This window comes from Homo sapiens, chromosome 5 (genome assembly GCF_000001405.40).
Source record: "Homo sapiens chromosome 5, GRCh38.p14 Primary Assembly".
NCBI classification, from domain to species: domain Eukaryota; kingdom Metazoa; phylum Chordata; class Mammalia; order Primates; family Hominidae; genus Homo; species Homo sapiens.
In genome coordinates, this window is record NC_000005.10 from 159,090,157 (window position 1) to 159,117,826 (window position 27,670).

The 27,670-nt window shown below is 44.4% G+C and overlaps 1 protein-coding gene and 2 long non-coding RNA genes across 27 annotated transcripts in view, besides 7 other annotated features; 2 read left to right on the forward strand and 1 right to left on the reverse strand.

The window, feature by feature from the left end:
* Window positions 1-9,760, reverse strand: part of EBF1 (EBF transcription factor 1) — a 403,997-nt gene extending 394,237 nt beyond the window's left edge. For 12 of the 25 annotated variants that reach the window (NM_182708.3, NM_001324108.2, NM_001324106.2 and 9 more), the window contains exons 1-4: window positions 9,189-9,760; window positions 6,818-6,974; window positions 6,187-6,250; window positions 5,464-5,519 (exon numbers count right to left, since the gene is read on the reverse strand). In NM_182708.3, the coding sequence (NP_874367.1) occupies window positions 5,464-5,519; window positions 6,187-6,250; window positions 6,818-6,974; window positions 9,189-9,322 (411 nt within the window). In that variant the 5' untranslated portion in view covers window positions 9,323-9,760. Of the gene's footprint in view, window positions 1-5,463; window positions 5,520-6,091; window positions 6,251-6,817; window positions 6,975-7,068; window positions 7,801-9,188 lie in introns of those variants that run through there. The other 13 variants (XM_047416890.1, NM_001364156.2, XM_047416889.1 and 10 more) reach the window with 5 other exon arrangements.
* Window positions 621-1,750: an enhancer, noted in NCBI's record as "VISTA enhancer hs1123". NCBI's record gives its function as "enhancer in: cranial nerve[5/9]" and the evidence as "EXISTENCE:transgenic organism evidence [ECO:0001131][PMID:17130149]".
* Window positions 5,609-6,502: an enhancer, noted in NCBI's record as "NANOG-H3K27ac-H3K4me1 hESC enhancer chr5:158522773-158523666 (GRCh37/hg19 assembly coordinates)". NCBI's record gives its function as "activates a minimal SCP1, AML or CMV promoter by ChIP-STARR-seq in naive H9 embryonic stem cells {active_cell/tissue: H9 hESC(naive)}" and the evidence as "EXISTENCE:reporter gene assay evidence [ECO:0000049][PMID:30033119]".
* Window positions 7,397-8,290: an enhancer, noted in NCBI's record as "H3K4me1 hESC enhancer chr5:158524561-158525454 (GRCh37/hg19 assembly coordinates)". NCBI's record gives its function as "activates a minimal SCP1, AML or CMV promoter by ChIP-STARR-seq in naive H9 embryonic stem cells {active_cell/tissue: H9 hESC(naive)}" and the evidence as "EXISTENCE:reporter gene assay evidence [ECO:0000049][PMID:30033119]".
* Window positions 8,933-9,222: a silencer, noted in NCBI's record as "silent region_16568". NCBI's record gives its function as "represses an Ori minimal core promoter by ATAC-STARR-seq in GM12878 lymphoblastoid cells {active_cell/tissue: GM12878}" and the evidence as "EXISTENCE:reporter gene assay evidence [ECO:0000049][PMID:35858748]".
* Window positions 10,040-10,668: an enhancer, noted in NCBI's record as "OCT4-NANOG-H3K4me1 hESC enhancer chr5:158527204-158527832 (GRCh37/hg19 assembly coordinates)". NCBI's record gives its function as "activates a minimal SCP1, AML or CMV promoter by ChIP-STARR-seq in primed H9 embryonic stem cells {active_cell/tissue: H9 hESC(primed)}" and the evidence as "EXISTENCE:reporter gene assay evidence [ECO:0000049][PMID:30033119]".
* LINC02202 (long intergenic non-protein coding RNA 2202) lies at window positions 10,327-27,322 on the forward strand. The gene is made up of 3 exons (NR_109890.1): window positions 10,327-10,682; window positions 21,703-21,842; window positions 24,956-27,322. It is a non-coding gene; the product is annotated as a long intergenic non-protein coding RNA 2202 (long non-coding RNA).
* Window positions 10,669-11,295: an enhancer, noted in NCBI's record as "H3K4me1 hESC enhancer chr5:158527833-158528459 (GRCh37/hg19 assembly coordinates)". NCBI's record gives its function as "activates a minimal SCP1, AML or CMV promoter by ChIP-STARR-seq in primed H9 embryonic stem cells {active_cell/tissue: H9 hESC(primed)}" and the evidence as "EXISTENCE:reporter gene assay evidence [ECO:0000049][PMID:30033119]".
* Window positions 13,876-14,781: an enhancer, noted in NCBI's record as "H3K4me1 hESC enhancer chr5:158531040-158531945 (GRCh37/hg19 assembly coordinates)". NCBI's record gives its function as "activates a minimal SCP1, AML or CMV promoter by ChIP-STARR-seq in naive H9 embryonic stem cells {active_cell/tissue: H9 hESC(naive)}" and the evidence as "EXISTENCE:reporter gene assay evidence [ECO:0000049][PMID:30033119]".
* On the forward strand, window positions 14,863-17,283 carry LOC107986467 (uncharacterized). Its single transcript, XR_001742942.1, has 2 exons — window positions 14,863-14,940; window positions 16,711-17,283. It is a non-coding gene; the product is annotated as an uncharacterized LOC107986467 (long non-coding RNA).
* Window positions 27,323-27,670: the final 348 nt, after the last annotated feature.

Here is a 27,670-nt window from a genome sequence, read left to right on the forward strand (position 1 = left end):
TCAAAAAATGATATGCACACCTACAATATCAACACACTATAATAATAATCATTACATTCAACCACCAATTTCTACTGTTTGTCATTAAAAAAAAAAGAAAGAAAAAAAAAAAGGTGCTAGCTAATCTGGTCTTAGAAATTTCCAGTAGGTGAAGGCACACTAGTTAAAAATTAAACCATGCCAAAGGAAACACTACAAATCTGACATTTCATAAACAACGTGTCAAACAGCAATCCAACATTAGTAGTGGAATAAAATAAAAAAATAATTTTGCTTCAATTAGCAGCTTGGCTACTGGTGAACAAATTACAAAGATGTAATTTCAGCTCAGCAGCTAAGCAGGCCCGTTTTCAGAAGTGAATTAGGAAAGTTGCGAAGGAATGATATCAGATTCAGTGTGCTGTTCAGTTACATCACAGCCCTGAATAAAAAGAGAATGTGTACCAAAAGCAGTTAGCTTTAGAATGCATCTTTTATGTCTCAAAGAGCTAAAACCCCTTATATTATTCAAACACCATAAAAAACTAAATCACTCTAACAATCCCATATTGTATTTCTTTTTCTAGCACAAATAAAAGATATTTCACTCCTATGGTAACTACATTTACACCTACATTAGTAAATACAATTGGCTTTGTCAACCCAATGGGGTAATAATAATAATAATAATAATAATAAAAGCATCTAATTTATTAAGCACTTAATTTGTACCAGTCGCTGTTCTAAGTTCTTAACATGTATGAAGTTATTTAATTCTCACAACGGAGCTTCAAGGTAGGTGCTAACATTATTTCCATTAGTCTGATTCCAAACATTGATGTATTTTAATTGCTCACTAAAACCAGATCATTCTTGCTCAACAACTATGTAGACAATTCACCAATGTCCAAACACTCCTTCATCGCTCTCAGCAATATAAGACAGAGAGAACAGACTATCTGTACAGTCATATGAGTTCAATAAATGCATCTCTACTAATATGTTCGTTTTTAATGCTGTTCAAACATTCACATGGAAACAGCTCTAGCGTAAATATCCCCGAACAAATGGCTGTATATTATCCAGGAGGGAGCAGTTGGCCCGCCAGACTGGGGAAGTACTAGGCCATCTGGCTCCGGCAATCTCTCCAAAACCATCAGCTTTGTTTTCACCCCCAGACTCCAAACAACACATTTTCCACTGTGATGAGTTTACATTTTCCCAAACACAGGTCCTGATCATGCATAAAAATTCCAAACTTCTTCATTCCTCTATGTGCAAGGAAATTTAAATCACCTGCATTTTTGACATGTTACCAAAGGAGAGAGAAAGCTGCTGAAATATGGCCTCTGACTATAAACTTGCTGTGTCCTTTTTTGTTTGTTTATTTCCCCAAATATATGAAAGAAACTCTCTGCTGGCCTAGTGAATTCCTTGGGAACTTATTGATATACTGAAAATGTGTTTATCTACCAATGAAGAACCATGAACTGAAAGGGTTGTTAATCAAATCTATGTAGCCATGGCAGGATATAATGAAACAATCAATAGGAAAAAAATACACTTGCATCAATACCTTAAAGTACGGGGAAGATCAAAACAAATATATCAAGAAGTCTAGCTGGGAAGAGAAACCTGATAGCATTTCTGATGATTGTACCTTGGACCCCCCACTGTCCTGGGAACCTTTTCACGGTCTCCTCACTACATCATCTACTTTCAAATCCATACATACAAGGATTATGTGACTACGATTTCCTGCTTCTCAAGCAGGCTTTTGTTTAGGGGAAGAGTGTTTTGTTTTGATAACTTAATACAATTTGGTATCTTTTCTTTGAATTATAAAATATCACTCTTTTAAAGCAAGATGGTAAGAGGGGAGATAAGCTAAACTTAAAAAAAACTATTTAAAGATATATAACTCACTATAGCAATCACAGAATGTAATCATATTTCAAATACTACATGAAAATCTGAAAGGATGCCCACTAAACCTCAGACCTCCCCCACTGGATTCATTTGAGCTTCTGCAGTAGATATTGTTTCTGGATGCAGCAGCCATAAACTTCTGGGTCCTACAGGGCATTCTGCATGCTCACTAATGGAATACCAAAAACAGTAATGACACGAAAACAAACTATTTTTAGTCCAGCTAAACTTGGTTTTGAACAACCCTTCCCAAAAGCAAGCCTCTTATTTTCTAGTTGGTGGGTGAATTTTTAAAATATTATATCCTGTGTGCTTTACAATGAAGGCATAGGGATAAGGGATCTCAGATTCTTATATATTCATTTCTAATGAAGCTTCATCTTTCCTGGTAGAGTCCAAAAATTAAGAGTCATTACCCAAAATAGTCTAATGAGACACTTTGAAAAGGTGTGAAATACTGTGTCATACCAACACATCTTGGTTGATTGAGTACATTTCTTTTCTATCTCAATGCTGCTAATCCCACCCAAGATCAAGAACAGTTTATGGAAATGTAGAATGCAAAAATAGTTTTAAATTTTGCTTGTCCAAAATTCCTTTTGAGTTTTAACCCCACTTTCTAGTCAAGAATATGACATCACTCACATAAAGCTGCATCTCTGATAGGAAAAATGTTATAATAAACAGGCAGCTAAGAAAAGACACTTGAACAGTGGCTAGGTATTCCTTCCACAATTGATGATGTTATCAGAACTTATCAGACCAGAAGTGTTTCATTCTGTACTCTAAATAATTATCAAAATCCATAATGTATGAGGAAGAATTTCACAGGAAAAAAAAATGTAATCATTTAATCCATCAGTTTATATCAAGACTTACATCTGATTTAAGGAGCCACTGTATATTAAACTAAAATCAAAGATTCAAGAAATTTTAAATCAGACTTGGTATTTAATTATGATAGAATAATTTCAAGCTAGAGGAAAATTAACTGTTTTACTCATTAAGGCTAAATATCAATTATTTTTATGTCACACCTAGGGAAAGTTAAGCTTCTTCACGCTCATCTATCTGCTTTTTGGAGGCCATTGTATTAACCCTGTAGACAAGAAGCTAACCTACTTCCAAAACTCTTGCAGCACATAATCAAAGAACAAGCAATTGGATAATGAGTAGGAACTGCCTTTCAAAGTGAAAGCTACAGAGAGGTGGTTAAACAATTATTATGAAAGCACACAGGTAAGCTTTGAAATATTCCTTTTCCTGATATTTTTTAGACTTAGATAATTATTCAACCTTTTCTCAGGCCACTCCCCACCAAAATATATCATTGCATGCATTTATAATTTTGACTTTTACTGAGATGTCATATTATGGCAAATGACTTTCTCATAAGTGCTATTATCGAAAATAAAACTAATCTTGTTCTTATTCCTCTCTCTCTCTTTCTCTCTCTCTTCCTCCCTCTTTCCTGATAGAATTTATGACACCAAGTGGTCAAAGAATGCCTTAAGCTGCAGTTTTTCTTAAGCTCTATGACCTTGTTAGTAAAATGATATTTGATGTATTGCTTTAAAAATATCAAAAGATGATTCTCCCCCATTTTTATATGAGTATAAGGTAAGTTCATCCCATAATGGGAAAATCAATTAGTAGTGGCACTTTTTGACTAGAGAGACTTAAAATAAAATTTTGAGGAGGTTTAATTCATAGAGCGATTAATCACTTCAAACATGTCTTAATTCTGTGCTTCTTACAATTGTTCATTTCATAGTGCTACCTATAATTTAATATTTCATTGGTCAATGTTGCACAAGCAGACAGGCCTTATGTACTGATTTGTGTATGTGTGCCTTTTATCTTTTAGAAAGTAAATCCTAATAAATACACATAGAGTATGTCTTAGAGTTCCTACTTTCCCCCTCTCCCTCCCAACTTTTTTTTTTTTTTTTTTCCTGTAATGAGAATGGCAGGAAAGGATATCCAGGGTATCAAAGGCAATTTTTGAAAACAAAACTCCACTTAAGACATTTTTATTTTGACATCGCAAAAGAAAAAAAGTTATTAAAAATCAGGCTTTTGTGTTTCTGCCTTGGAAGGCAAAAAAAAAAAAAAAAAAAAAAAAAAAAACACAGTGTCCAAATGAAAGTGAATTATCCTATGCAATTATTAAATCCATTAAAGAAAATAAAACCAAGACCAAAAATTATAAATGGTGATTTACTCTGAGCAATCAACTGAGAAATAAACAGATTTTTAAGAAAGCCAAATATTTTAGGCAAATAACATGAAATATATTTCAATCTTTATTTTTATTTTAAAAAATAGATTTCATACTCTTGCTTTCTACTTGTGTCATATCGAAATATGAAAGTGATCATCAAAAATAGCTGTTAATAAATTGGTTCTTGAAGATTAGATTTTTAAAATGCCCAACAGCTTATTAATGTGACATTTCTACCACATATTTAAGCCGTGGTGTATCTAAAAATAATTTTTAAATATGCATATATACCCTAATTTGAAACTTTCTCAGCCAATATCTATGAAAGAAAATCATTTCTCTTATTTTAAAGGAAACATTCTAAAATCACAATCAAGTAAATAAATTTTAATCCTCTTGCTAAATTGCTGGTTAGTACACAATGGATAACTTTTTTCTTTGTTCTAATTTCTTTCCCCCACCCAATAAAGCTGTCTTCTTTTTTCTGCTACTAACTCCTCCAACTACCTAACCAGCTACTTAATTCTGAAACTAAACTTTTTCTTAAAATTAAGAAGAAGGGGAAAAAGCTCCTGTGCCTCATTAAAACGTCAGGCCTCTTTTCTGACTCGGCTCATAATTGTATCTTTTAAACCATAACTCAACCTTAATGTATACTGCTTGACACCCGCGTGTTGGGAGCTTAAGAAAATGCCGTCTATGTACCTTTAAGACCACAAGCTCACTCATGCTGCCTGGCTTCCTGCCAAACTTGGAGGCAAAAGCAGGAGGGTTTTTGCAAAATATCCTCTAACAATTGTCGCTCCCTCTTTCAACACTACCTTCACCATCATTCCCTTTGAAAACAAATCTGCAGAATGGTCATCTGCGCTCTCAGCCCATCTCATCATTCCTGGGGAAGCCGCCTCTGCCACCCCTCCTCCGCCCCCTCAGCCCCTCGCCCCTCTGCTTCCCGGGGAGGCCTGGCTTGCTTGGGTTTCAAAGGTTCAGCCCACTCCGCACCAGGGTCCCTGGGCACCTTTGAGCCCTTCGGGGCTCCCTGGCCGGGTCAGAGGAAATTCAGCCCTTTTTCTCGCCACTCAGCACCCTGCAGTCTTAATTCACAAGGCCCGAGTTCCCTTGGAGGGACGCGCGCGCGTCGAGCCCTCATCCCCACGCGGCGGTGCAAGCGCATGAATGGACACTGGAAGGCCGTGCAAGTTTGGTCTGAGCCGCCCCCGCTGGCTTTTAGAGTTAGAGTCCCAGCCCACCTGCGGTGGAGCAACTAGCTTCTTGACTGCCCTGAATTTTGTGACATAGAGCCCCCCGTGGCCCAAAATCAAGAAACTTACTTGTTTTGTCATGGAGTCAATGAGGCGCACGTAGAAATCCTGCTCCGTCCTTATCCCTAGGGTTGGAAATGGGGGAAGGGAGGAGAATTAAGTGAGAGGTTACGGAGGGTGGGTGGACAATAATTAACAACAACAAAAAATAACAACAAAACCCCCACACACATATCACGAAAGGGGCTCCAAGGCTGATTGGAACTCCCACTGTCCTGGAAAATACAGCCACGATCTCCCTTCCCCAGTGTCCAGAGAGGTGCTGCTGGCCTTGCCTTAGCGCTCCTGGAAGCCAGACGCCAAGTTCTGCAGCTGGGACTGGGATGGGGGTACCCCGACTTGTCTGTTCTCACGGCAAGAGTCCCTCTGCTCTCGCACACAGCCTTCAAGGCCATGACCCTTCAGCCCCTAAGCCCAAGGGGCCATGGGCCTGCAGCCTGGGCCAAGCCAAAGGAACAGGCCTCAGGAAGGGGAGGAAGAATGAAAGTGGCTCAGGGAGGGATGAGGCACTACACCTGGCCCCAGGTAAACGCGAGACCGATAAGGCTCTTGGGCCACTAGGAGCCTCCTCAGGTGAAACCTCCTGGGGCGAAATTTAGGAGAGGCTGGTTCACCTCAAATAAAGCGGATGACTGACCTTCGCTGGAGGATTTCGTCCACCTGGAGCTCCCTGCGCCCCCTGCCCAGACCCGGAGCCCCAGGGTGAGGCCATAGACCCGACCCGGGCCTCACCATTGCTGTAGAGAAGCTGAAGCCGGTAGTGAATTCCGTTATTGGTCTTTTCGCTGTTGGCTTCCTGGGTTGCATCAGGACGCAAAGACACAAGAGATGCAGGAGAGAGGTCTGCGTGAGCGAGTGGACCAACTTTCGAGGCAACTTTCCCCAAGCCGGGACCCCCGCTGGCGAGCCAGGCAGCCACGGTAGCAGCAGAAATTGTGGCCAATTGTGATCCCTCCTCCGCCCCCTGTTCCTGACTGCTCCCTCTCTCCCAAAAGAAAATTCCGTCGGGCGCACACAGGCTATCCTCTTTCCAGGGCCTAGGGGCTCGTGCCCCGGCCACCAGAGGCAGGCGGTGCGTAATCTGGTAGTGGAGGGCGGGTTCATTCCGGGTGCCCATGGCTGTGGATTGTAGAGCCAGGCTTGCCTCTCTCTAGCTCTGGGGGCTCCGTGCGAACTTTTCTGGAGAAGGAGCCAGTGGACCAGGACCCTGGGTTCGTCTGGGATGGGAAGTGGCTTGGGGGACCCCCACATAGAAGTGTGTTATGGATGCTTTGCACTCAAGGAAGGGCGCGCTGCCCAAGGCTCCCGGGCCTGCTCCCGAGCCGAGCCGGGGACGAGGGGCGACAGCGCTGCGCCCACTTACTTTTTCCTTCTCCACGAACCCCACAAACGCTGTCCTCTCGATCTCCACGGGCTGGCCCTGTCTGTCGTAGAGGGCCAGGACGAAGTGGAAGAAGTTGGATTTCCGCAGATTGGAAGGCGGCTGCTTCTCAAAGTGAGCCCGGGCCAGACCCACCCCGCTGCGGCCAAAGACGCAGAGTTAGATGGCTAAACCGGACGCCGACCCGCGCCCCTTGTCACCCTGTACACACACTCGAACCCTCAAACACCCACCTCCTCTTCCCCCAAAACATCCAGTGGGCGCTCTTCACGCCCCTTCAGGCGACATAGACCCAGCTGACAACGGGACACACATGTCCCCTCATGTCCTCGTCCTCTCCGCCAAGGACGGGTGCGTCCTCAGAACTCGCTGAAGAGGTGTGAAAGTTTTGTTTGGGTTTTGCGCGCGAGATGAAACTCTATAAGCATTTACTCCTACCTGACACGCACTGCGTGGGGAGGAAGAAAAGTGGCGGTGGATGAAGTGAACCCACCTTCGCGGAGTAGAACCCACAGTTATATTCCGGCACCCCTCGAATCTCACGTCTCAGCTAGCAGGGCAGGTGGGAATGGATGGAAAACATGCTCGGCGTCTCGCCGCAGCAGCCACCCTCCAGGAACCCCTCAAGCTCTGGCCAACTGCGAGTGCCCGGCCTTGGGAAGCCACATCCCCCCACCACCAAAAAGCATGTGGAGAAGGGTCCGAGGGCGGGGCTCAGAACTGTCGCGGGTGGTCGCTGTGAAAAAGGGAAGAGGGGTGTTTTCTTAAAGACCTGTCCTAACAAAGTTTCGCTGTTCCGCAGAAATCCTCACACTCATTCCAGAAATCCTAAAGGCCAGGGCTGCTGGCTCAGTGCGCCGGCCGGCGATGGGAGGCTGGAGCGCCTGGGGCGCCAGGCGGCCACTGACAGCCGGACCTGCCCAACACAAGCGCGCACAGGCACACACACACACATAGAAGAACACACACGAGCGCCCCGCGCACACACTTTCACTTCCAGCCCAGTTACCCAATTCACTCTCACTACCACCCACCCCCATCCTAATACTCAGTGGGGATGGGAACAGTGTTGGGGACACTTGTCCCCAGCCCAGGGAAGCTGGAGATGATGTAATTAGTCATCTTCCTTCTTCCCCTTCCGCACTCTGAGTCCGATAGGGCCTGGGGCCACCAGATCTCCCACTGTCCCAAGCTCAGCTGGTGGCTTAATGGGGGGAAAAAGGCCATTTCTCACTTGGGACCAGGAGCCTGGGAAAGAGCCTTGGGTGTGCCCAGGAAAGTTCCCTCAGGTCAACCTCCAAGGGCAATGCCTCCAGGCCACACAGTCTAGTGTCTAGGGAGCTGCGAGTGAGAGAAGGGCTGGAAGGGGCCATGGTGACAGGGGCTGGAGAAGACTTTTGGGAGATATCAGAATTAAAGTTGGGAGTTGCTATTCTACCGGTAGACTAAGAAAAAACTGAAAGACAGAGAGGGAGGGAAGGAGAACGAGATAGCAGAAATAAGAGAAGACTCAGGGGAGAAATGGGACGAAAAAACAGGAAAGCCAGAGAGGTAAGGAAAGGAGAAAGAGGAGAAAGGAGGGAAGCTGAAGAAAGAAGAGAAAGAAAATGGAGAGAGGAAGGGAGGAAGGAAAAGAGTGAGGGAGAAATTAAGGGAAGGTGGGGGAAAGAAATGAGAGAAGGAAATGAAAGAAAGAAGAAAGAAAAGAAGGCAGGAAGAGAGACAGGAAAGAACGAAGAACGAAAGAAATGGAAGGAGGGAAGAGGGGAAGAAAGGAAGAGGAAGGAGAAGAGAAGAAAATAAAGGGGGGAGAAAGGAAAGAAGGAAGAAAGAAAAAAGAAAGGCAGGAAGAGGAAAGAGAAAGAAAAAGGAAAAAGAAAAGGAGGAAAGAAAAAAAGAAAGAAAAAGAAAAAAGAAAGAAAAAGGAAGGAAGGAAGAGAAAGAAAGAAAGAAAAAAGAAAAGAGGGAAAGGAAGAGCGAAGGGAAAGAAGAAAAGAGAGCCGGCCGGAAAAGAAAGAGCAATCACATAAAAACATAAAACACAGATCTCCAACATGCTGTGTTGAGACGCCTCTTCTGGGTTAAAACAAAATGAAAACAGTCACAGACGAGGCAGGGGAAAGTGCTGGCAAAGCGTGGGCTCCTCGCAGACAGCTCCAGGTCCTCCGGCCGCAGGCGACGAAGGCAGAGCGGCTGGAGAGCGCGGAGCCCCGGCGGAGAGCGGAGCGCAGCGGCTGCGGACTCACCCCGCCGCCCGGCCCCGCGGCAGCAGCTGCCGCTGCCGCTGCCGCCTCCGCCTCCCGGCTCTCCCGCTCGCGGCTCACCTCGGCCGCGGTCCCCGCGCAGTACCCACCTCTGCGCCGCCGTGTTGGCGTCCAGCACCCCGGCGCCCTGCATCCACGTCCGCACCGCGTTCATGCCGCTGCCCAGCGGCTCTTCCTTCATGCTGCTTCCACTCCGTTGGATGCTTTCCTGAATCCCAAACATGAAAACAACCTTTTCTTGTGGAAAATCTCCTCCCCCTTGAAAAAAATTAAAAAAAAAAAAAAAGGAAAGAAAAGAAAGAAAAGAAAAGAAACAAAAACGCCAACCAGAGATTTTTTTTTTTCTCAGACGATGAACTCGCACTTAGAAGATCAAGGCGGGCTGGAAAGCAAATTTTTAAAAAATGTAAACCTCTGCTCAAAACTGAGCGATAACCCGAAAAAAAGAAGAAAGGGAAAATCCAACGAAAAGACCAAAATAATAAAATTAGAGATGTATGCTTGGCTGTTGGGGGTTGTTTGGTTGGTTGATTTTTGGTTTGGGTGCTTTTTTTTTTTTTTTGCTTTTTTTTTTTTTTTTTTGTAATGATCACAGGCCGGTGGAGGACAGGAGGGGCTGGAGTTTCCTTTTGTAGAGGTACCCTTCACTTGAAGAAGCAGGAAGAAAAAAAAAAAAAAAAAAAAAAAAAAAAAAAAAAAACCCTGATGGCAATTTAAGAAACAATAGACTCAACTCGCGCTGCCGGCTTTGCTACTTCAAGTGTCATTTTCCACAACCAGGCAAGTTTTTTCCTCTCTCTCTCTTTTTTTTTCCTCCTTCTCTCCCAACCAAAGATGTTTCTTTCCTTTGCGTGTAGATGAGGAGGACGCTGGTTGCCGTAGACAGATACACCAGAGAGGGTGGGGGGAAGGGGAGAGAGGGAGAGAGGAAAGGGGGGGAGGGAAAGAGAGATAGAGAGGAGAGGGAGAAAGAGAGAGGGGTGGACCCTGCTGGATGGAGATTCTGTTTTCTCCTTGCTAAAATAGAAGTGATTTGCAGGCTTTCCCTATGGAATCCAGTTTGACTTTCCCCAGAGCTAAACACAGGCACACTAACCCCAAAGGGAGGAGGCGGGGCCCGCGCATCGAGGCCCCGCCCCTTCATTTGCATAACGTCATCTTTCCGCCCACCGCAGCCAATCGCGGCCCGGGAGCCGGCTCGCTGGCGGCGCCAGGCCACGCTCTCTCATTAACATCCCGCTCCCGGTGGCGCAGGGGAGCCGGCCAAAGTTCCTCGCAAAGTGGCGAGCGAAGGAGCGCTGAGCACTGACGTCTGGGCTGGGGAGGAGCGGGTCCGAGCGAGGACGGAGAGGGGACAGAGGGAAAGGGAGGCGGGTGTCTTCCTCAGGAATTTGAGCTGGGGATCTGCATCCTGGCCATTGCAGTCCTTTAGCATCCTCGCCGCGCCCTGAGCGCGCTGGAGGCTCGCAGGCTGCGCCCTCCCAGGGCTGATGCCGCGTCCTGCTCCGCCGTTCTGGGACGTCGGGGACAAAAGTGGAGGAGACGGGAGAGCCCGGGCAGAAAAAGCAGGACGCGCGTCCCAGGTGCCCACCTCTTCGCTTTGAGGCGGGGGCGGTGGGATGGAATATGGGTGCGCGAGGTCGGGGCTGGTAACTCTCGGAGGGGCACGGCCTCCACGCTGGGAGGGATGAATGGACGCTGGGCCCCGGCAAATGAGGCGCTGTGGGTCCCCAGGAAGTGGGGTACCAGGCTCTACTCCCACCCCGGCCTCTGAAACGCTTCTCTCTCGGCCGCTAGCCTAGAGGCTGCCAGGGTTGGGCACTGTTCTCACTCACACGCTCACCTCTCTCGGGCAGTCCTCGAGATATGTGAATGGTGGAATGAATGCTCTCACTGGGGCTGTGTCAGGATGCGTTTTTAAATTTTCTCAAATTAAATGCCAACCCCTCATTCCCCACCCCAAGTAGTTGGTTCGTTTGTTTTTAGAGTAACTACCAAAGCAACAGCAATGTTAACCGTCCTTGATTAGCTGGTTATTTGGTGTAGGGTTTTTCTCATCCTCCTTTATTCTTCCTGTTAAAAAGGAGGGCTTGAACAAATCCTTCCTAACTCTGTCTCTGCCATATGAAAAGGGTGGGGGGAGAAGAGAAGGAAGGTGGGGAGAAAGGACAAAAAAGGAAGAAGGGGAAGAGAAAATGGGAAGGAAGGAGGGAGAGAGAAAGGAGAGAAGGAGAAGGAACGAATGGAAATGGGAGAGATGGAAGGAAAAAGGGAAAGAAAAAAGGACGAAATTGTCTCCCTCCTCAGGCTTTTCAGCATGTATCTTTGTGGCTGGCAAAGGAAATAGCTAGAAGTTTCTGGGTAATGTACCCCATCATTTTTTAGCAGGTTGTAACCTCTAATAAGCACATGGTGAACTTCTGTTTCATTGCCCTCAAAGGAACTCCCTGACTGCAGCCAAATCTGCTAAGGACTCCTTCGGGGAAATTATCTGCCAGAAATCCAGGTCCCCTTTCTGCTGGCCTTCCTTGGTCCTTTGATTTAGGAAGCTCATGGGGTCAGTGATGGAAAAGTACACATGCCCATGTTGAATAGAGACAGGCAAGAGTTATGCTTTGTGCTCTTGGCAGAGCAGTGGAGCCACTTCCTGATTCCTAAACTGGATGAAAGAGTGTGGTCCTGGCCTGCAGTGCATGGCCACTGTCCTCAAACACTGCTTTATCTCCTGTGCACGAGGCCTGCCCAGCTCTCACACATGTAATCTAGACTTCTTGTGTGCTGAGCACTTTCCCCTGGTACCATAATTAATGCCATCTCTTCCAGGACTTCCCTGAAGGGATTGGTCTGATCTTTTGGGATCCCCATAGCATTCACAGGGGTTCCTAACATAGCGTTCATGTCGAAGAAGAGTATAATGGTGGAGAGACTTGAAGGGCTGTAGGTTTTTGGGGATAGGTATGTGAACATTTTCAGTCTCTATAGTATTTAAATGCACAATTGAAACTTGGCCTGCTAAAAACTTTCTAAAGCTCCAAACTTAACCTTATGCTCCAGGTCCAAAGGGGTCCCCAGAGTCAATCCCTCCCCCTGCCTGGGCCATATTCTCCAGCTCAGAGAGGATCCTTGAAGGTAAGGAGATGAGGAAGCAAAGCCCACCCATCCTATCAATGGGTCCCATATAGCCCTGGCAAAAGGCCTAGGCCTCCTTCTCTTTATCTGCCTGAACCTCCATTTTACTCTCCAGTAAACAGTCCTCAACTGCAGGACTCCCAGCTGAGTCTGGTGGGGTGTCTCCAGTGGTGAGGGACACAAAATAAGGGAGCAGATCACTGCCAAAGGAAGGTGACAAAAGTGCCAGGGAAAAGAAAAGCATAGACACCCTCAAGTCCAGGATCAGCAAGAGACACACAGCAGATAGATTTCTGGGGTTGAACAGAGTCTAGAAGCATCTGCAAAGGATGCGTTTGTTGAGAGCCTGAAGCTGACTCACCCAAATGAGAAAGTGGCACAAAGCAAGAAGTCCTGAGCAGCTCAATTTCTACCCCAGAGCCAGTCTCTCCAGGAACTAAATATGAGGGAGGCAATTTCCATACCTGCCAGGCTAGAGAAGGAAGAAAAATAAAAGGGGGCAGAAATATTTTGATAAGACTAATTTCCTTTGGCTGTGCAGAGGCAGCACATACCTCACCTGGGGTGGTGAGTGTGCTTTATTTTAATCAAGCCGAGTGTATTCATAGCTTTTCTTCTTGGTGTCCTTGTGCTTTCAGTCTGGCTTTCTCATCCTGTAATAAATGTTTAAGTAGGAAGGAGGCTAAAGAGAAGGTGGAAGAGAGACAGAGTGAGTGACAGAAAACTGGAAATGACACACAGGCCAGCAGAGCAGTAGTTTTTTTTATGGATTTTCTCTGGTGAATATTGAACCAGCAATTGTAATTTTAAACTTTGAAAAAGAGCCTCTTAAATACTTCTAAATCTTCATGTGAGGGTAGCACTACCTCCAGAGACAAAGCATGTGTGTAGAGGGTGATTGCCATCATACCTGAAAGCAGATACTTCAAGCACTATCCATCACAATTACCTTAGGTATATACTTTATGGTAAAGGTATCCTGTAATGAGATATTCTAGTATGTACAGCATTGCCTAGGCTTTATGGCATATGAGTGATTTGACTTTAGGGTAGTTTATAATAGTAATCCCCAAACTGGGTTCATCAGGCTAATCACATGGGGAAGGGTGCAGGCACTTGTTAGAAATGCAGATTTCCAGGCCTTATCCTGACCCACAGAATCAGAACCTCCTGTGTTGGTGCCTGGGATCTGTATTTAAAGTTATTTGGAAACTCTTGATTTTTGAATATATATCATCTCTGAGAGAAAGAAGGAAGGGAAGGAAGGCGTGAGGAAAAAAGACTTTTGCATGGGGAAAAAATACAGCAGAATGAGTTTACACCTGGAAAGAAAAACTAGAGAGGTTTGGGGTTTCCCCTGGAGCCTAGTTTCCCTGATGAGCTCCTCAAAATTTCTGCAGCTGTGGGAGTTCAGGATACACAGCCCCTCAGATGCTCCCAGCGGTAGGCAGGGCTGTCCAGCTCTCGGGATCTCTTGACCTGGGCCTGGAGGAAGCCCAGGGCAGTGTGCAAGCACTCCCTACCCACCCACTCCCACCCTGACCTTCTGCTCCTTGGCTATCCCAACCCTCTTGAGGCACAGGGAAATCAATTCCCCTTTCTGAAAGGCAACATCTACCAGTAATTTCTGGGGACTCCAGTAGAAACATACCGGTCTCCCCAAAGAGAAGAGACTAGATAAATACAGCCAAACTAAGACCCGTGGAAAGGTCCCAGCGGAAGAGGGAATCGTCTCTGTTCGTCCGCCCCCAGGAGGCCAGACTTGGGACCTGTCACTTGGAAAATTCTCTTGATCTCCATTCCCCTTGTGAGGGCGGGCCCACAGAAGGGCAAACCGTCCCGGGACGTGCCCCCTTCCCTCGCCACCTGCCAGGGACAGCTTCGAACGAGGCGGGAGGACAGATGCCTACTTCAGTGTTGGGAAGGGAAAGGGGAAAAGAAAGATGCAAGGACCTAAGCCAAGGCGCAAAGTCCCTCAGATTGCGGCCGCTCCAGAGGAGTCGACCAGCAGCCTGGAGTCGGGGTTGAGGTGGAGAGGAGCAGGGGCCACGGCGTTGCCCGGTGGACGAGAATAGGAGTGGGTGGCGGCCCGGGGACCTGGGAAAGCCGGGACCTGCGCGAAGGCTCGGCTCTGCGGGGCCCCTGAACTGCACCCGGAAGATGGCGCGAGTGGCCGAACACCGTGACACACCGCCAGCCCTCAAAACCGTGGCTCTTTTCCTCGGTGATCTCCATGCGCAGTCCTCGGGGAACGCGTGGGAGTAGCAGGCCAGGGGTCCACTGGAAATCCAGAATCTGATTTCTGTTTCCGATTCCCTACGCTCCAGAGAAGGCCTCCTCTGCTGGCCCAGTATGACCGACACTTCCCGGCTCTGGGAGCGCACCTCCACCTCCCACCCCCCATGGTACATACAGGGAAACTGAGGCCTAGAGAAGGACAAAGACACCCACAGACGGCTAGGAGATAGAGACCAAGCAAACAACACCGCGGGGCTCCGTCCCAGGTTGGGAGCGCTTAGTCTGATACGGCCAGAAGCCTGGGGCAAGGGGTTCCTACAGGTCTTTCTGGGGCGAGCCTGCCAACTCTCTTGGGTTTCCCCCCGGGCGGCCCCAGATAATAATAGATCCCATTTGTTGATGGCTTTACGGGCAGGAACTCACTGAATATCCGCCACAGACCACGGCAGATAAGACCACTCCGGCGTTTTACAGGTGAGCAAACAGAGACCCTGTGAGCGAAGTTGAAAAACTTGTCCACGGCCAACAGCTAATAAAGTCGCCAAGCCAGAATATCGCTAAAGCCTGTCCCCTTAAATATAGAGCCAAACCGTCCACCCAGCTGTGGCGCGAATCTCTTGTCCCCCAACTCTCAAGTGTCCTTTGGCTCTGGAGCTCCTGGGCCCGGGTTCCGCATCCGGGAGGAGAAAGGAGCGAGCGCGCACGGTGCCTCCCGAGGGCAGGGAGCAGAGGAGAGGAAAGGGGAAGACTATGAAACGTCCTAACTAATGCGCGTACTGAATGCGCATTCACGTGGTCAGTTACCGATGTGCTTCTCTCTCTCCTGGCCCGCAGGGACAGAGCGCGCCAGGGACGTGCCAGCCCCGGCCCCGGCTCTGCCACATTTACTATGTGACCTCCTGTCAGTCATTCTCTCTCCCAGTCCTAGATGAGATCTTAGAGCTCACGCAAGCTTGCCTGTTGGAACAGACTAAGTATCTGACTTTGCGGGGATGTTCCTGATGCCCATCGAAGGACAGAAATCTGGACACTTGCGGATGTGCTTTAATGGGGGAGATGCTGATTCTGCCCTGGCGTGACCATAGATAGCTAGAAGCTGAAGTCATTCTGAGTCGGGAGAATACAGTTGGGGGCACTGCCGGAAAGGATCTTTAAGTCCGAGGATGCCCTAGGGCGTGATCATATCCCACCCGGTGGCCCTTGCCCACAGTCCCCTAGTCCACGAGATTGGAATCCGATCTGGGAAGGTCCCTGCTCCCTTGGTAGAAGGAGGCTCTGGGATGGGAGAAGGGAGCTTCTTAGCGATTTGAAAATTAGCATCCCTTCAGTAGCGCAAACCTTATGGAAGAAACCTTGGCCTTAAAACATTCTCAGAGGGGAGACTGGGAGGAACAGGCCTGTTTATTCAGGGGAAAGTTGGAGAAGGGAGGGCGAGTTTAGCAGAAAAGCTCGAGATGCCTGGATAACAAAAAGTTTGCGCTCATACTTCCTTCGAGGGACAATTTGCTGAATATTTACACACCTTTGCGTGCTGCGAGGTCTTTGTTGGCTACTGGGATGCGAGATGTGTATGATGTGAATGTGCAAATATGTTTGCATGTGCGAAAAGTGGCTGCACATTTGTGGGCCAGTGCAGTAAGTGTGTGTTTGTGCCGGTGACAGAGAGCACTTGGCTGAATGTGTGCGTGGGTGCGTAAGGCATTGGTGCACACGGGCGTGAGTGCGCATGTGTATAGTGTGTGCACGTGTCATGTGTAGTGTCTAAGTGAGTGGGCTGTGCATTTGCAAAAGTCCGTGTGTATTGTGCAAGAGCATCGTAAACGTGTGTGAGCCTGAACTCACACGTGGTTTTGTGTGCACGTGTGCGTATGAAATTCAGCAAAAAAAAAAAAAAAAAATCCAAAAAAATCTAGGTCTAGGCAGGGTGCGGACCGAGGGCCCAAGGGCAGGCGTGCAGACCGCTACGACTTTGGCTTTAGGGAGACGCCTTCGGGGCGCAGGGCCCGCCCGAAGACGCGGGTTAGCATACAGCTCAGCTCCAGGCAGGCGATGCGGGTTCCCAATGCGGGCCTACAGATTACGCGGACTGAGCTGGGAACGGTCCCTGCTGGACAGTTCCGTGCTCTTAATCCTTCCTCGCCTACGGTCTCTGATTATTGATGCTTGCCGTGTGTCCTAAAAGGGACCGCTTCCGGTTTATTTGCTTATGTATTTATTATCTTTATCAACGTTATTTTTTGGCAGCTGCCGTGAAGATGCCAAACCCACCAAGACTGCGCTGCCCCACCTCTCCGAGGCTGTCCTGGGAGTGCGGGTGACCCGCGAGCTCCAGAATCTTTCCTTAAGGTGGAGCCACAGCGCCACCTCGCGATCCTCCAGCTTCCCTCCCTCATGGCCACGGAAGGCTGGCCCTTTCTGGTCCAAGCCCCCAGGGTCCCACACTTACTGGTTTTCCATGCACTTTCATTATTTCCCTTTCTCTCTCTTCAATGTTCCCTTATCCTGAGTATTGAGGTCCCCAAACGCGCCTTTCTACCCCACGTTTGGACATAGCCGGAATGTCTACCTCCTTCTCCATCCGGTGAAGCACTGCTCCCCCTAAAATCACCAGCTCAAAAGTCACCTCTATGAAACCTTTTTAGACTTTTCCAACGCAGTCATTCGTGCCTTTCCCTGGTTTCCCTACTGCTCGCATCACATTGGACAGGAAATGCTATTTAAACGTTTTTCTCCTCTCCCTAATCAGGGAGCTCCTCTGAGAGGAGCCATGGCTGTCCTTGCTTATTCAACAATAAAACCTAGTATATATCAAGTGCATACTATGGAGCGTTTAATGCACTGTACTGTGCAAAAACATATTGTCTTATTTCATTTTCCCAGCAAAATCATGAGGAAAGCACGAATATTGTTTCCCATTTTGCAGATGAAGAAACTGAGGTTAGAGAAAATAAGTACCCATCCAAGGTAGCATTGCAGAGCCTCATCCAAGTCAGCCTGTCGGATGCCAGAGCCAACTTTTCTTAACCTCTGACTTGCAGACTTATTCAGCTGTATATCCGTGGGCTTTGTGATAGGAAAAGACACAGAATGAGTACTTGTGTGTTTATGAATAAATGTATCTTTTAAATTATTTCTTCTCCTAGAGAGTTGGGTGTGGGAAGGCACTGCAATTATCAGATACTTTGATTGAAATGTCACCACAATTATTTATCTCTAAAGAGTATTCCTCTGCTAAGTAGCTAGGAGACCTTGGTCAAGTCACTTCATCCTCAGTTTCCTAAGTTCTAAAAGTAGGTTTTCTGTGGAGGATTAAATGAGAAAAAAAAATGTGAATTACATGATATATAGCATTCTAGTCATTGCTCAGTAATTATAATAACTCGAAACTACTGAAACACACACAAAAAAAACAAAACACAAAATTGACTTACCCTAGTCACACAGAATTCCCTGTACCTCTGTATGAAATCATCTTACTGTTATATCTTCATTTTCATCTTAGACATGAATTATATAATAAATATTTTTAGTTTATGGTGGTTAGGGTGTTAATGTTAACCCTGCTCTGTTACAAATATTTAAGGGGTAGTGGGAGAGATATAATCAAACAGTAAACCAGCAAACTTTGCCTCTTGTAATTTCCTCCTGCTTTGTAGATCTTTACCAAGAAAGATTTAAAGAAAGGCTATAAAAGTACTTATTGGCCAGGCACGGTGTCTCACTCCTGTAATCCCAGCACTTTGGGAGTCCGAGGCAGGTGGATAACCTGAGGTCAGGAGTTCGAGACCAGCCTGGCCAATATGGTGAAACCCTGTCTCTACTAAAAATACAAAAAATTAGCCGGGCTTGGTGACGGGTGCCTGCAATCCTAGCTACTTGGGAGGCTGAGGCAGGAGAATCGCTTGAACCCAGGAGGCAGAGGTTGCAGTGAGCCAAGATCGCACCATTGCACTCCACCTGGGCAACAAGAACAAAACTCTGCCTCAAAAAAAAAGAAAAAAGAAAAAGAAAAAGATGCTTATTATTCTGGAAAGTACAAAACTCTATTTTTTAATTTAGGGGAGATTCTGAGCTAGTTTAAGTGTTTCCCTACTTGAAAACATCATTGCTACCAATACATTAAAAGTTTAAAAATATGTGTCTAAGCAAATGATTGTATCCAAATAAAAGAAAACTCAAATAAAATAATGTATTACTACTAATATATTAAAAGTTTAAAAATACATGTCTAAGCAAATGATTGTATCCAAATAAAATAAACAAATGAAGGTTGTCTGAACATATTCTAGACCTTAAGACATTTCCCAAAAAGGTTAAGTTTTAAAGATTTAACATCTCTTTCTAGAGTGACCCATTAAACAAACATTCCTATTGTCAATTAGGTGAAAATGAACTTTTTCCCCTGTTACGGCTATAACTTTCCTACTGTCCAATTATTTTGGAAAGACTGTTGACTAGTATTGTCATGTCATAAACACATGATTTCTCCTCTGAGAAATGAGGCTAATAAAATCCACAAAAGGTATAAACGTGCCTCCACATTTTGCTGGCCCACAGTCCATTTCTAGAAACTTCACTCCAGCCCCAGTTTAATTTACTTTATTGTACTTGCTTCCCATTCTATGCAATTCTCTTGTATAGAGATGAAGAAATGGATTCAGGAAACTCTATAATGTGTTAAGATATTTTATTGTACAGCTGATGGATATTTGGGAATTTGATTCATATTGATGGTGTGAGACACTGGCGTTTTGACAAAGTTGGGGTGTGTTCTGTTTTCCTTTTTTATTCCTATTATGGTGGCCATTAGAGATGTTCACCAAAATTTTGGGTTTTCTTCTTCCAGGTGCATAGAAGGATGGAAGTATTCTGACCCTTCTGCATTTAGCTGTGATCTTGTGATTTGCCCTGGCAAATAATGAATTAGCAGAAGTGACATGTGTCACTTACAGGGGCAGAAGCATGAAGAGCCATAGTGCAATTTACCAAATCCCCTTCCCGGTGGCACAGCTGTTGCTGCCCCCACCAGATGGAGTTTCCATCAGCATCCCACCCCTGGCACAGACGTGTGGAGTGGAGACATCTCCTACACCCATAGACATTTAGCAAGAATGAGAAATAATCCTTTGTTACTGTAAATCCCAGAGATTTTTCTGTACTGCAGTATAACCTAGCCTCTCTGGAAGAATACACTTAGAAAGGAAACTCATCTTTTCTTTTCTTTTGGGGGGCAATTTGAAAATTCTTCTCCTAGAGTGAAAAGTAGACTGCCATGTCTAATTAAATAAAATAATCAGAAAATGAAATCATTCAACTAGAAATCTGAATCTCATTTTCTTAGTCTATTCATACATTTCCCCAGGGTCAAAACATCTGGAACCCTCTGAAATAAGGAGAATAACTAAATTTTACAAATACTTAAAAGGAATCTCAAAATTATTGCTAGACCTCGACAAGAATATTCAGTGGGTCCTTAGTCCACTTGCAGATACATCATGAAGTGAGTTACATAGGTTGTGATTAGAAAATACTTTATTAGCAATTGGCCAGGCACAGTGGCTCACGCCTGTAATCCCAGCACTTTGGGAGGCTGAGGTGTGAGGATCATCTGAGGCCAGGAGTTTGAGACCAGCCTGGCCAACATGACGAAACCCTGTCCCTACTAAAAATACAAAAATTAGCTAGGCGTGGTGGCACACGCCTGTAGTCCCAGCTACTCAGGAGGCTGAGGCAGGAGAATCACTTGAACCCAGAAGGCGGAGGTTGCAGTGAGTCAAGATCATACCACTACACTCCAGCCTGGGTGACAGAGAGACCCATTTCAAAAAAAAAAAGAAAAAAGAAAAAAAGAAAAGGCTTTATTAGCAACTGTATGCAGACATAAAGTAACTTTTCTCTCTGCCTCATGTTCAATTCTATATCAGATTGGCAAAAAGGAAAAATATTTGACTAATCAACTTGAATTTAATAACGTGATCTAGGGCAAGTCATTTAAATTTTCCAGACCTTCTTGTCCTCATGTGGTGTGATGGACTCAATGTTTCTGCCTTGCCCCGCTCCTCTGCCCTGCCAAATTCATATATTGAAACCCAAATGCACAATGTGATGGTATTACTTCCCACAGATAACTAGGAGGTAATTAGGTTAAGATGAGCCATGAGGGTGGGATTAGTGTCCTTAAAAGAAGAGGTAGAGACTAAAGCTAGCAAGCACTCTCCATCTGTCTCTCTCCCTCTCTGTCTCTCCCTGTCATACGAGGACACAACAAGAAGGTAGCTTTCTGCAAGGCAGGAAGAGAACCCTCACCAGAACCTCATCATGTTGGCATCCTGATCTCACACTTCCCAACTTCCAGAATGGTGAGAAATAAATGTTAGTTGCTTAAGCCACCTAGTTTGTGGTATTTTGTTATAGCTGTCTGAGCTGACTAAGACAACTAGAAAATAAGAGTAGACAACATGAACTTCAGGGTACCACTCAGTTCTACTAAGCTAGAATTTTGAGGTATCTGGGTGATAGCAGTTTCAGAGTTGATGCTACAGTATAAAAATCTTCCTGTGTCTCCATCCCCAACACTATTTTGTGAATCTTTTTTCATTTTTTTATACTGATCTCAACTTAAAACAACTGCTTCTTAGGCAAAATAATACTTCTTTCCTTAAGCCTCAAATCTTTTAAACGTGGGAATCTGCTAGAAAAGTGTGCTGTATAGATTTGGGGCCATGTAAAATGCTTTGTCATTTTCTAGCCAAGAGGAGAAATTTGCTTCTATATTGAAGAGCTATTCTCTATAGGTTTCATTATCTGATAACCTAAAGAGTTTTTCTGTGGATTTTCAGGAAACTTTTGTGAGAAAATATTGACTGTGCGATGAGTGCTATAGGGTGAAATCATTACTGTCTATTCTTTATCCTTGGTGTGGCATGATTGACTGCCAAGAATAATATTGTTATAATAATTTCATTTGGATAATAATTTAAATTTGACAAAGAAGTTTCACATGAGTTACTGCCTTGACTTCTCGTAACACACCATGCAACTGACATTTCTGCCCCACTTCACAGAGGAGGAACAGGTTTAGATCCGCCCATACTGTATGGTTAAGAAGCACCAGATTTGGGGTGTAACTCAAAAGCCACAGCTGCCTATGAAATTTAGAAAGCTGTCTGAAGCTTTAGTAGGAAATAGAAAGTGTCGGAACTATGCTATGGAGCACTTTTTTATAAAAAGATGCAGGATGCTTTCTGTTGCAGACATGATCGCTGGTAACAGATGCCTGGTTCACTCTCATCCTGGCCATACCTGAGGACTATGCTCCTCTTCTAGAAGTTCGGTGCAGTCATCTGACTTAATTGATTCAGCGCATTTATCTGCAGGTGAGAGAACCCCCAGAGCACTCGTTCTCCTCAACCAGAAATATTACTGAGGGCAGATCCATCAGTTTGGGTCCTGCTATGATGATCAGTTTGGGTCCTGATATCCATACAGATATCCAGCCCTGGAAAGTAAAAACAAGCTTCTTTTCTGAGCAGTTCATCATGTACTGTTTTCTTTCTGTGAACAGAAGATTTTAACACTAAGACGATTTTATAGGCAGACACGTAGAAGAAGCTAGCAGAGGTGTCTTAAACCCATTTGTGCCTATAGAGCCATACAGTTACCCCGGCGTGAAAAATATTAACCACCTTTTTTTTTCTGAACACTTCATCATGTACTGTTTTTGCTCAGTGAATGGAAGATTTTATCACAAAGAGAAGTCTGTAGGCAAACATTTAGAAGAAACTGGCAGAAGAAGTTTCTTGGACCATATATGCCTACAGGGCCATACAGATGTCCGTCCCTGAAAAGCAAAAACAAGTTTCCTTTCTGAACAGTTTATCATGTACTGTTTTTGTTCAGTAAATGGAATATTTTAACACCAAGAGGAATTTGTAGGCAGACAGAAGAAGCACCATGAGCTCTTTACCAATATGCAATGGATTTAATGTAAGCAAGTGGTTTAAGCCACTCGGATTTCTGGCTTGCTTGTTACTGCAGCTGAACTTAGCTTGTCTTCACTGGCACAGTTTCCTAATTCAAATTTAAATCTTTTGTAAAAGAGAACTATCTCTGTAGGGTAGACACTCTTATACTTCAGCCATAGACACATATCTCTCAAGGAGAAAGTATTCTTCTAGACCTCTCATGTTTTTATTTAAATTAATTTTATTATGTAACTTAAATATGTGCAAGCATAAAACTAGAGATCAATTCTTCATGCATAACAATGCTTAAACAATGGTGAAACTAAATTGCAAACTAAATGAAAAAGAAAAACCCCACAAAACCAAAGATTTATAAGTAAACAATAATAAAATATACTGGATGACATTGTTTTGTGGAAACTGAATTGCCTCTCAAATATCAACATTGTTTTGAATTCAGTGGAGTAGATTCTTTTGGATATGGCATGCCTTTATAGTTATGCCATTTGTGATGATTTAATTCTTCCACCACTTTTCTCTTTTTGTGAACCAGCACAAAACATTCCTTAGTTCACAGTATGTAGGAAAAGCTTAAAGGAATAATTTCAGTATCAAATAAATTTCAGCCCCTTCTTACCAGCCTATGACAATTCAGAATTACCGCTGGCACCAATAAACATAAACTAAAATTTAAGCTCAGAAATTTCATGTCAGTCTTCAGTTTAAAGGTATTGCCCAGACGAATCTGTTTAACATTTTAAGATAATCACTGAAATGAAAACCCTAAGTTTTAAATTTCTTATTAACAACTAGGAAACTTCCCACTCTCAAGAACACATTTCAGATGCCACTGAAGTGCACACTTTAAAAACAGTTAGAGGAGTACATGTCATGTTAAGTATTAATATATTTTACCACAATTAAAAAAGATTTTTTCAGAAAGAATAGCACAAGTATGATGAGAATCTTATTGCTACTACAACTACAAATATTTTGATGCTGGGTGACCTTGAGGCAAGTTGCTTAACCTCTCTGAACCTCAGATAACTCATTTGCAAAGCAGTTCTGTCTTTGGTTTTTGTTTGCTTGATTGTTTTTTTTAGAGACAAGGTCTATGCTGCCCAAGCTGGAGTGCAGTGGCTGTTAACAGGTGTGATCAAAGATCATAGCAGCCTCAAACTCCTGGGCTCAAGTGATCCTCCTGCCTCAGCCTCCCAAGTTGCTAGGACTATAGGCTCAGGCCACCATGCCCAGCTTAAAGGGTTGTTTTGATGAACAAAAAGGAGAGAGTGAATGGAAGAGTCTATCACAGTACCAGTCTATGGAGAACTGCTTTGCATTTTCCTTCTGGGCAATAGCAAGGCTGCATTTCCCGGCTTCTGCTGAAGTCAGGCTGAGGTGGGATTGAAGAAAGCCATTTCCATAGTCCATCAATCCTCCTGCATAATCTTCCACTCTTTTTCTCCCCCTTCTGTGGGCTGAATCAGAGAATCTAACACTGGACTCCGATGCCCTCTGGCAAGACTTAGCAAATTTTCTCTGTAACAGGACAGATGGTAAATATTTTAACCTTCATGGGCCATACAGTCTCTGTCACAACTGCTTCTCTCTACCATTGCAACATGAGAGCAGCTACAAAGCACAGATGAAAGGGAAGTGAATAGGTGTGACTGTTCCAATAAAACTTTATTTACAAAAAAAGAATGTTTAAAAACAGTAGGTTGGCAGAGGCAGGTGGATCATGAGGTCAGGAGTTCAAGACTAGCCTGACCAACATGGTGAAACCCCATCTCTACTAAAAATACAAAAATTAGGCGGGTGTGGTGGTGTGCACCTCTAATCCCAGCTACTCAGGAGGCTGAGGCAGGAGAATTACTTGAACCTGGGAGGCGGAGTTTGCAGTAAGCCGAGATCGCGCCACTGCACTACAGCCTGGGAGACTCTGTCTCAAAAAAAAAAAAAAAACAAAAAACAGTAGGTAGGTTGGAATTGACCCATGAGCCGCAGTTTGCTGACTCCCACTATAGGGTATCTCAGAGTCACAAAATGGAAGGAGTCTGTGTCCATAAACTACTACATGAGGAAATAGACTTTGTATGAGCAAGACATGAACATCTATTTTGTCAAGTCACTGAAATTTTAGAGCTGTTTGACAATAGACTGCTCTAATACTCAAACACATAGATGGCTTTCTGTAAATACTATACTTCCCTTATCTCCCTACAGTTCCTTTAAAGACAGGGACTGTGGATTATTCAACTGTTTACCCTCTCCAGAGCCTTCCCAATACCCATTAATGAAATAATATAATTCCCATCAGAAAAATAATGATGTGTATGAAGAGATTAATGGATACAGCATCTATAACATTCTAAGTAAGTTGTCACTGCCTCCCCCTCCTTCATTCCACTGCCCTATTCCTAGACACATATTTGAGATGTTTTGTGCCCCATCCCAGATAACAAGATACATGTATCTGTGAGATGATTTTCTTTCTTTCTCTCTTTTTTTTTCTTATCGCCCAGGCTGGAGTACAATAGCACGACATCAGCTCACTGCAACATCTGCCTCCCGGGTTCAAGCAATTCTCCTGCCTCAGCTTCCCGAGTTGCTGGGATTACAGGCACCTGCCACCATGCCCAGCTAATTTTTGTATTTTTAGTAGAGATGGGGTTTCACCATGTTGGTCAGGCTGGTCTTGAACTCCTGACCTCAGGTGATCCACTTGCCTCGGCCTCCCAAAGTGCTGGGATTACAGGTGTGAGCCACCGCACCTGGCCTGTGAGATGGTTTTCTTGGGTAGAATGAAAGAAGCTTGGCTACTGGGTCCATTTTATGTGAACATGTTGCTCCCTATTATAGTCAGTCCCTGGAACCCATTGTAAAGTCAGTTCTGGGTTTTTGCTTAGCTACCATGTAGTAACAGTCACAGCCTGTCTCCTGTCACCCTAACACCATCACCATTGCCAGTGGATATTTTTACCCCTAGTTTATAGTTAGGAAGCCTGAGACCCAGAGGGATTAAAGAGCTTTTCCAAAATCATATGGCTGGCAACACTAGTAATCTGGGCTGCCTGAGTCCTAAACATCATTCTACCCCAGCATTGAATTCCGAGGCCTCTAGAATCTTACCTACCTTCCCTGTTTGAAATGTATTTGTGGGGGAACAATTGACCTCAGAATGAGTAATTTGTCACTACTCTGAGAAAGTTTCACCGAGTTTCACATTTTCCCATTACAAAAGGAAAATGAGAAAATATGTCCTAGATACTACAGAGAAAAATACTTCATTGTCTTAATTGCCTTTCTATTTCAATCAAGGAAGGCATTTAATTATTTCTGAACTACATTCAAAACTCTCTCTCAAGAATATTACTCTCCCCAGGTGAGTTAACCAAAGCTGTGCACAACATTTCTCAATCTGAATAATAACATCAAAAAATTTATTGAGCACTTTTTATATGCCAAACTAGTCAATTCTTTCTGTTTATGACCTCATTGATTCCTCATGGCAAGTTTATGAAGTGGAAGCAATCATTCTCTCTTCTAACAAATGAGGAAACTGAGGCACAGAGGGATGAGATAGTTTGTCTAAGATTGTAAGGCATTAGGTGGTGAAGTCAGCATTGGATCCCAGGCCAAGCCCGAGGCCATCACTCCACCATGCTGCCTCTCAAGAGAAAGATTCAGTTTCCCCTTTGAGATATCCATTTATAAGTACATGTGCCAAAGCAATGTGAAGAAACCAACCCAGATGACTTGATTAAGCTACAGAAGGGACATCTGGGGTCTCAAGCCTCTGGAAATCAAGGTGGAGCATGTAGAGGTTATGGGATCAGGAGAGACAGAGTTTGACTTCTTTGTTTTTTCTTTGAGACCAAGTCTTGCTCTGTTGCCCAGGCTGGAGTGCAGTGGTGTGATCTTGGCTCAATACAACCTCCACCTCCTGGGTTCAAGTGATTCTCCTGCCTCGGGCTACTGAGTAGCTGGGATTACAGGCGCACGCCATCAGGCCGGCTAATTTTTGTATTTTTAGTAGACACGGGGTTTCACCATGTTGGTCAGGCTGGTCTCGAACTCCTGACCTCGTGATCCACCTGCCTCGGCCTCCCAAAGTGCTGGGATTACAGGCATGAGCCACCGTGCCCGGCCTGGGTTTGACTTCTTAAGCAACCTGAGGAATGATGTCCTTGCTGCTGAGCACAGCTGCCCTGGGCCCTGGAAAACCCACATGACACTCACTCAGCACCCAATGCTGGCTTCATTGTGGCTGTTGGAAACCATGTGGAAAAGAAATAACTTTTTTTGTGATCTGTACGTTATGGCTATTATTTTTTTACCTCGCTTAGCTTTTCAAGAGAATGAAGACCAGTCGACTTAGTATTTGTACTCTGAAATCGAATGGCATGAACACATGTGTTGTATAAGTGAGAAGAAGTATTCTCTTGTGTGATGGACTATAGCCTTCAGAAAGCACCTACTATTAAACAGAATAGAGATTGGATTTTGAAATATGTAGGCCACATCAGTAGGAAAGTTGACACTTCAAATTGCTCACAAGGACTTTAAACTCTACAATAGGTAAAATGTGGAGTACCTTATGTTTTCAGACCAAATGATTTTGTAATTTGAATTCAAAATTTTTTTAGTCTTCACAGTAGTCTTAGCATTAAAAGCATAGTTATTTTTAATATTTTGATAAAATATTCTATTTCATTAATTTTGTATAAGGGCATGTGTGAGAAGCATTGATATTTTTAAAATATAAAAATACAGCCTCTTTCTAATAAGCAAGAGCAATTGTTGATTTTTAAATTTTGTGTTTTTGGAGGCTTCCATTCACAAATCTGATTGTTTAAATAAATCTGTCTCCAGTAAATATGTTGGCACTTAGACTACGACTTCAGTTTCTTATGTTAAGATTTGTGGACTTCATACTGTCTTGAGATGTGCAAACGATTGTTGTTAAATAAGGACTTGGATAATATTCTTAAATAACTAGAATTAGATAAGGAATCTAAGCAAAGTTAATTTCCCCTTCCTTTTCCTTGATGCTAGTCCATAATCATATGCATAGTACTTCACATGCAGTTAAGCACTCAAATTCCATTATGTTGTGGGGATATCATGCCAACTTGGATATACTCAAGAATGTGAAAGACCAAAAATAGTATCATTGAGCTTCTGGTTTCCAGCCATGGCAGCTAGGTCATTCAAATCAACCCTCTACTACCAACATA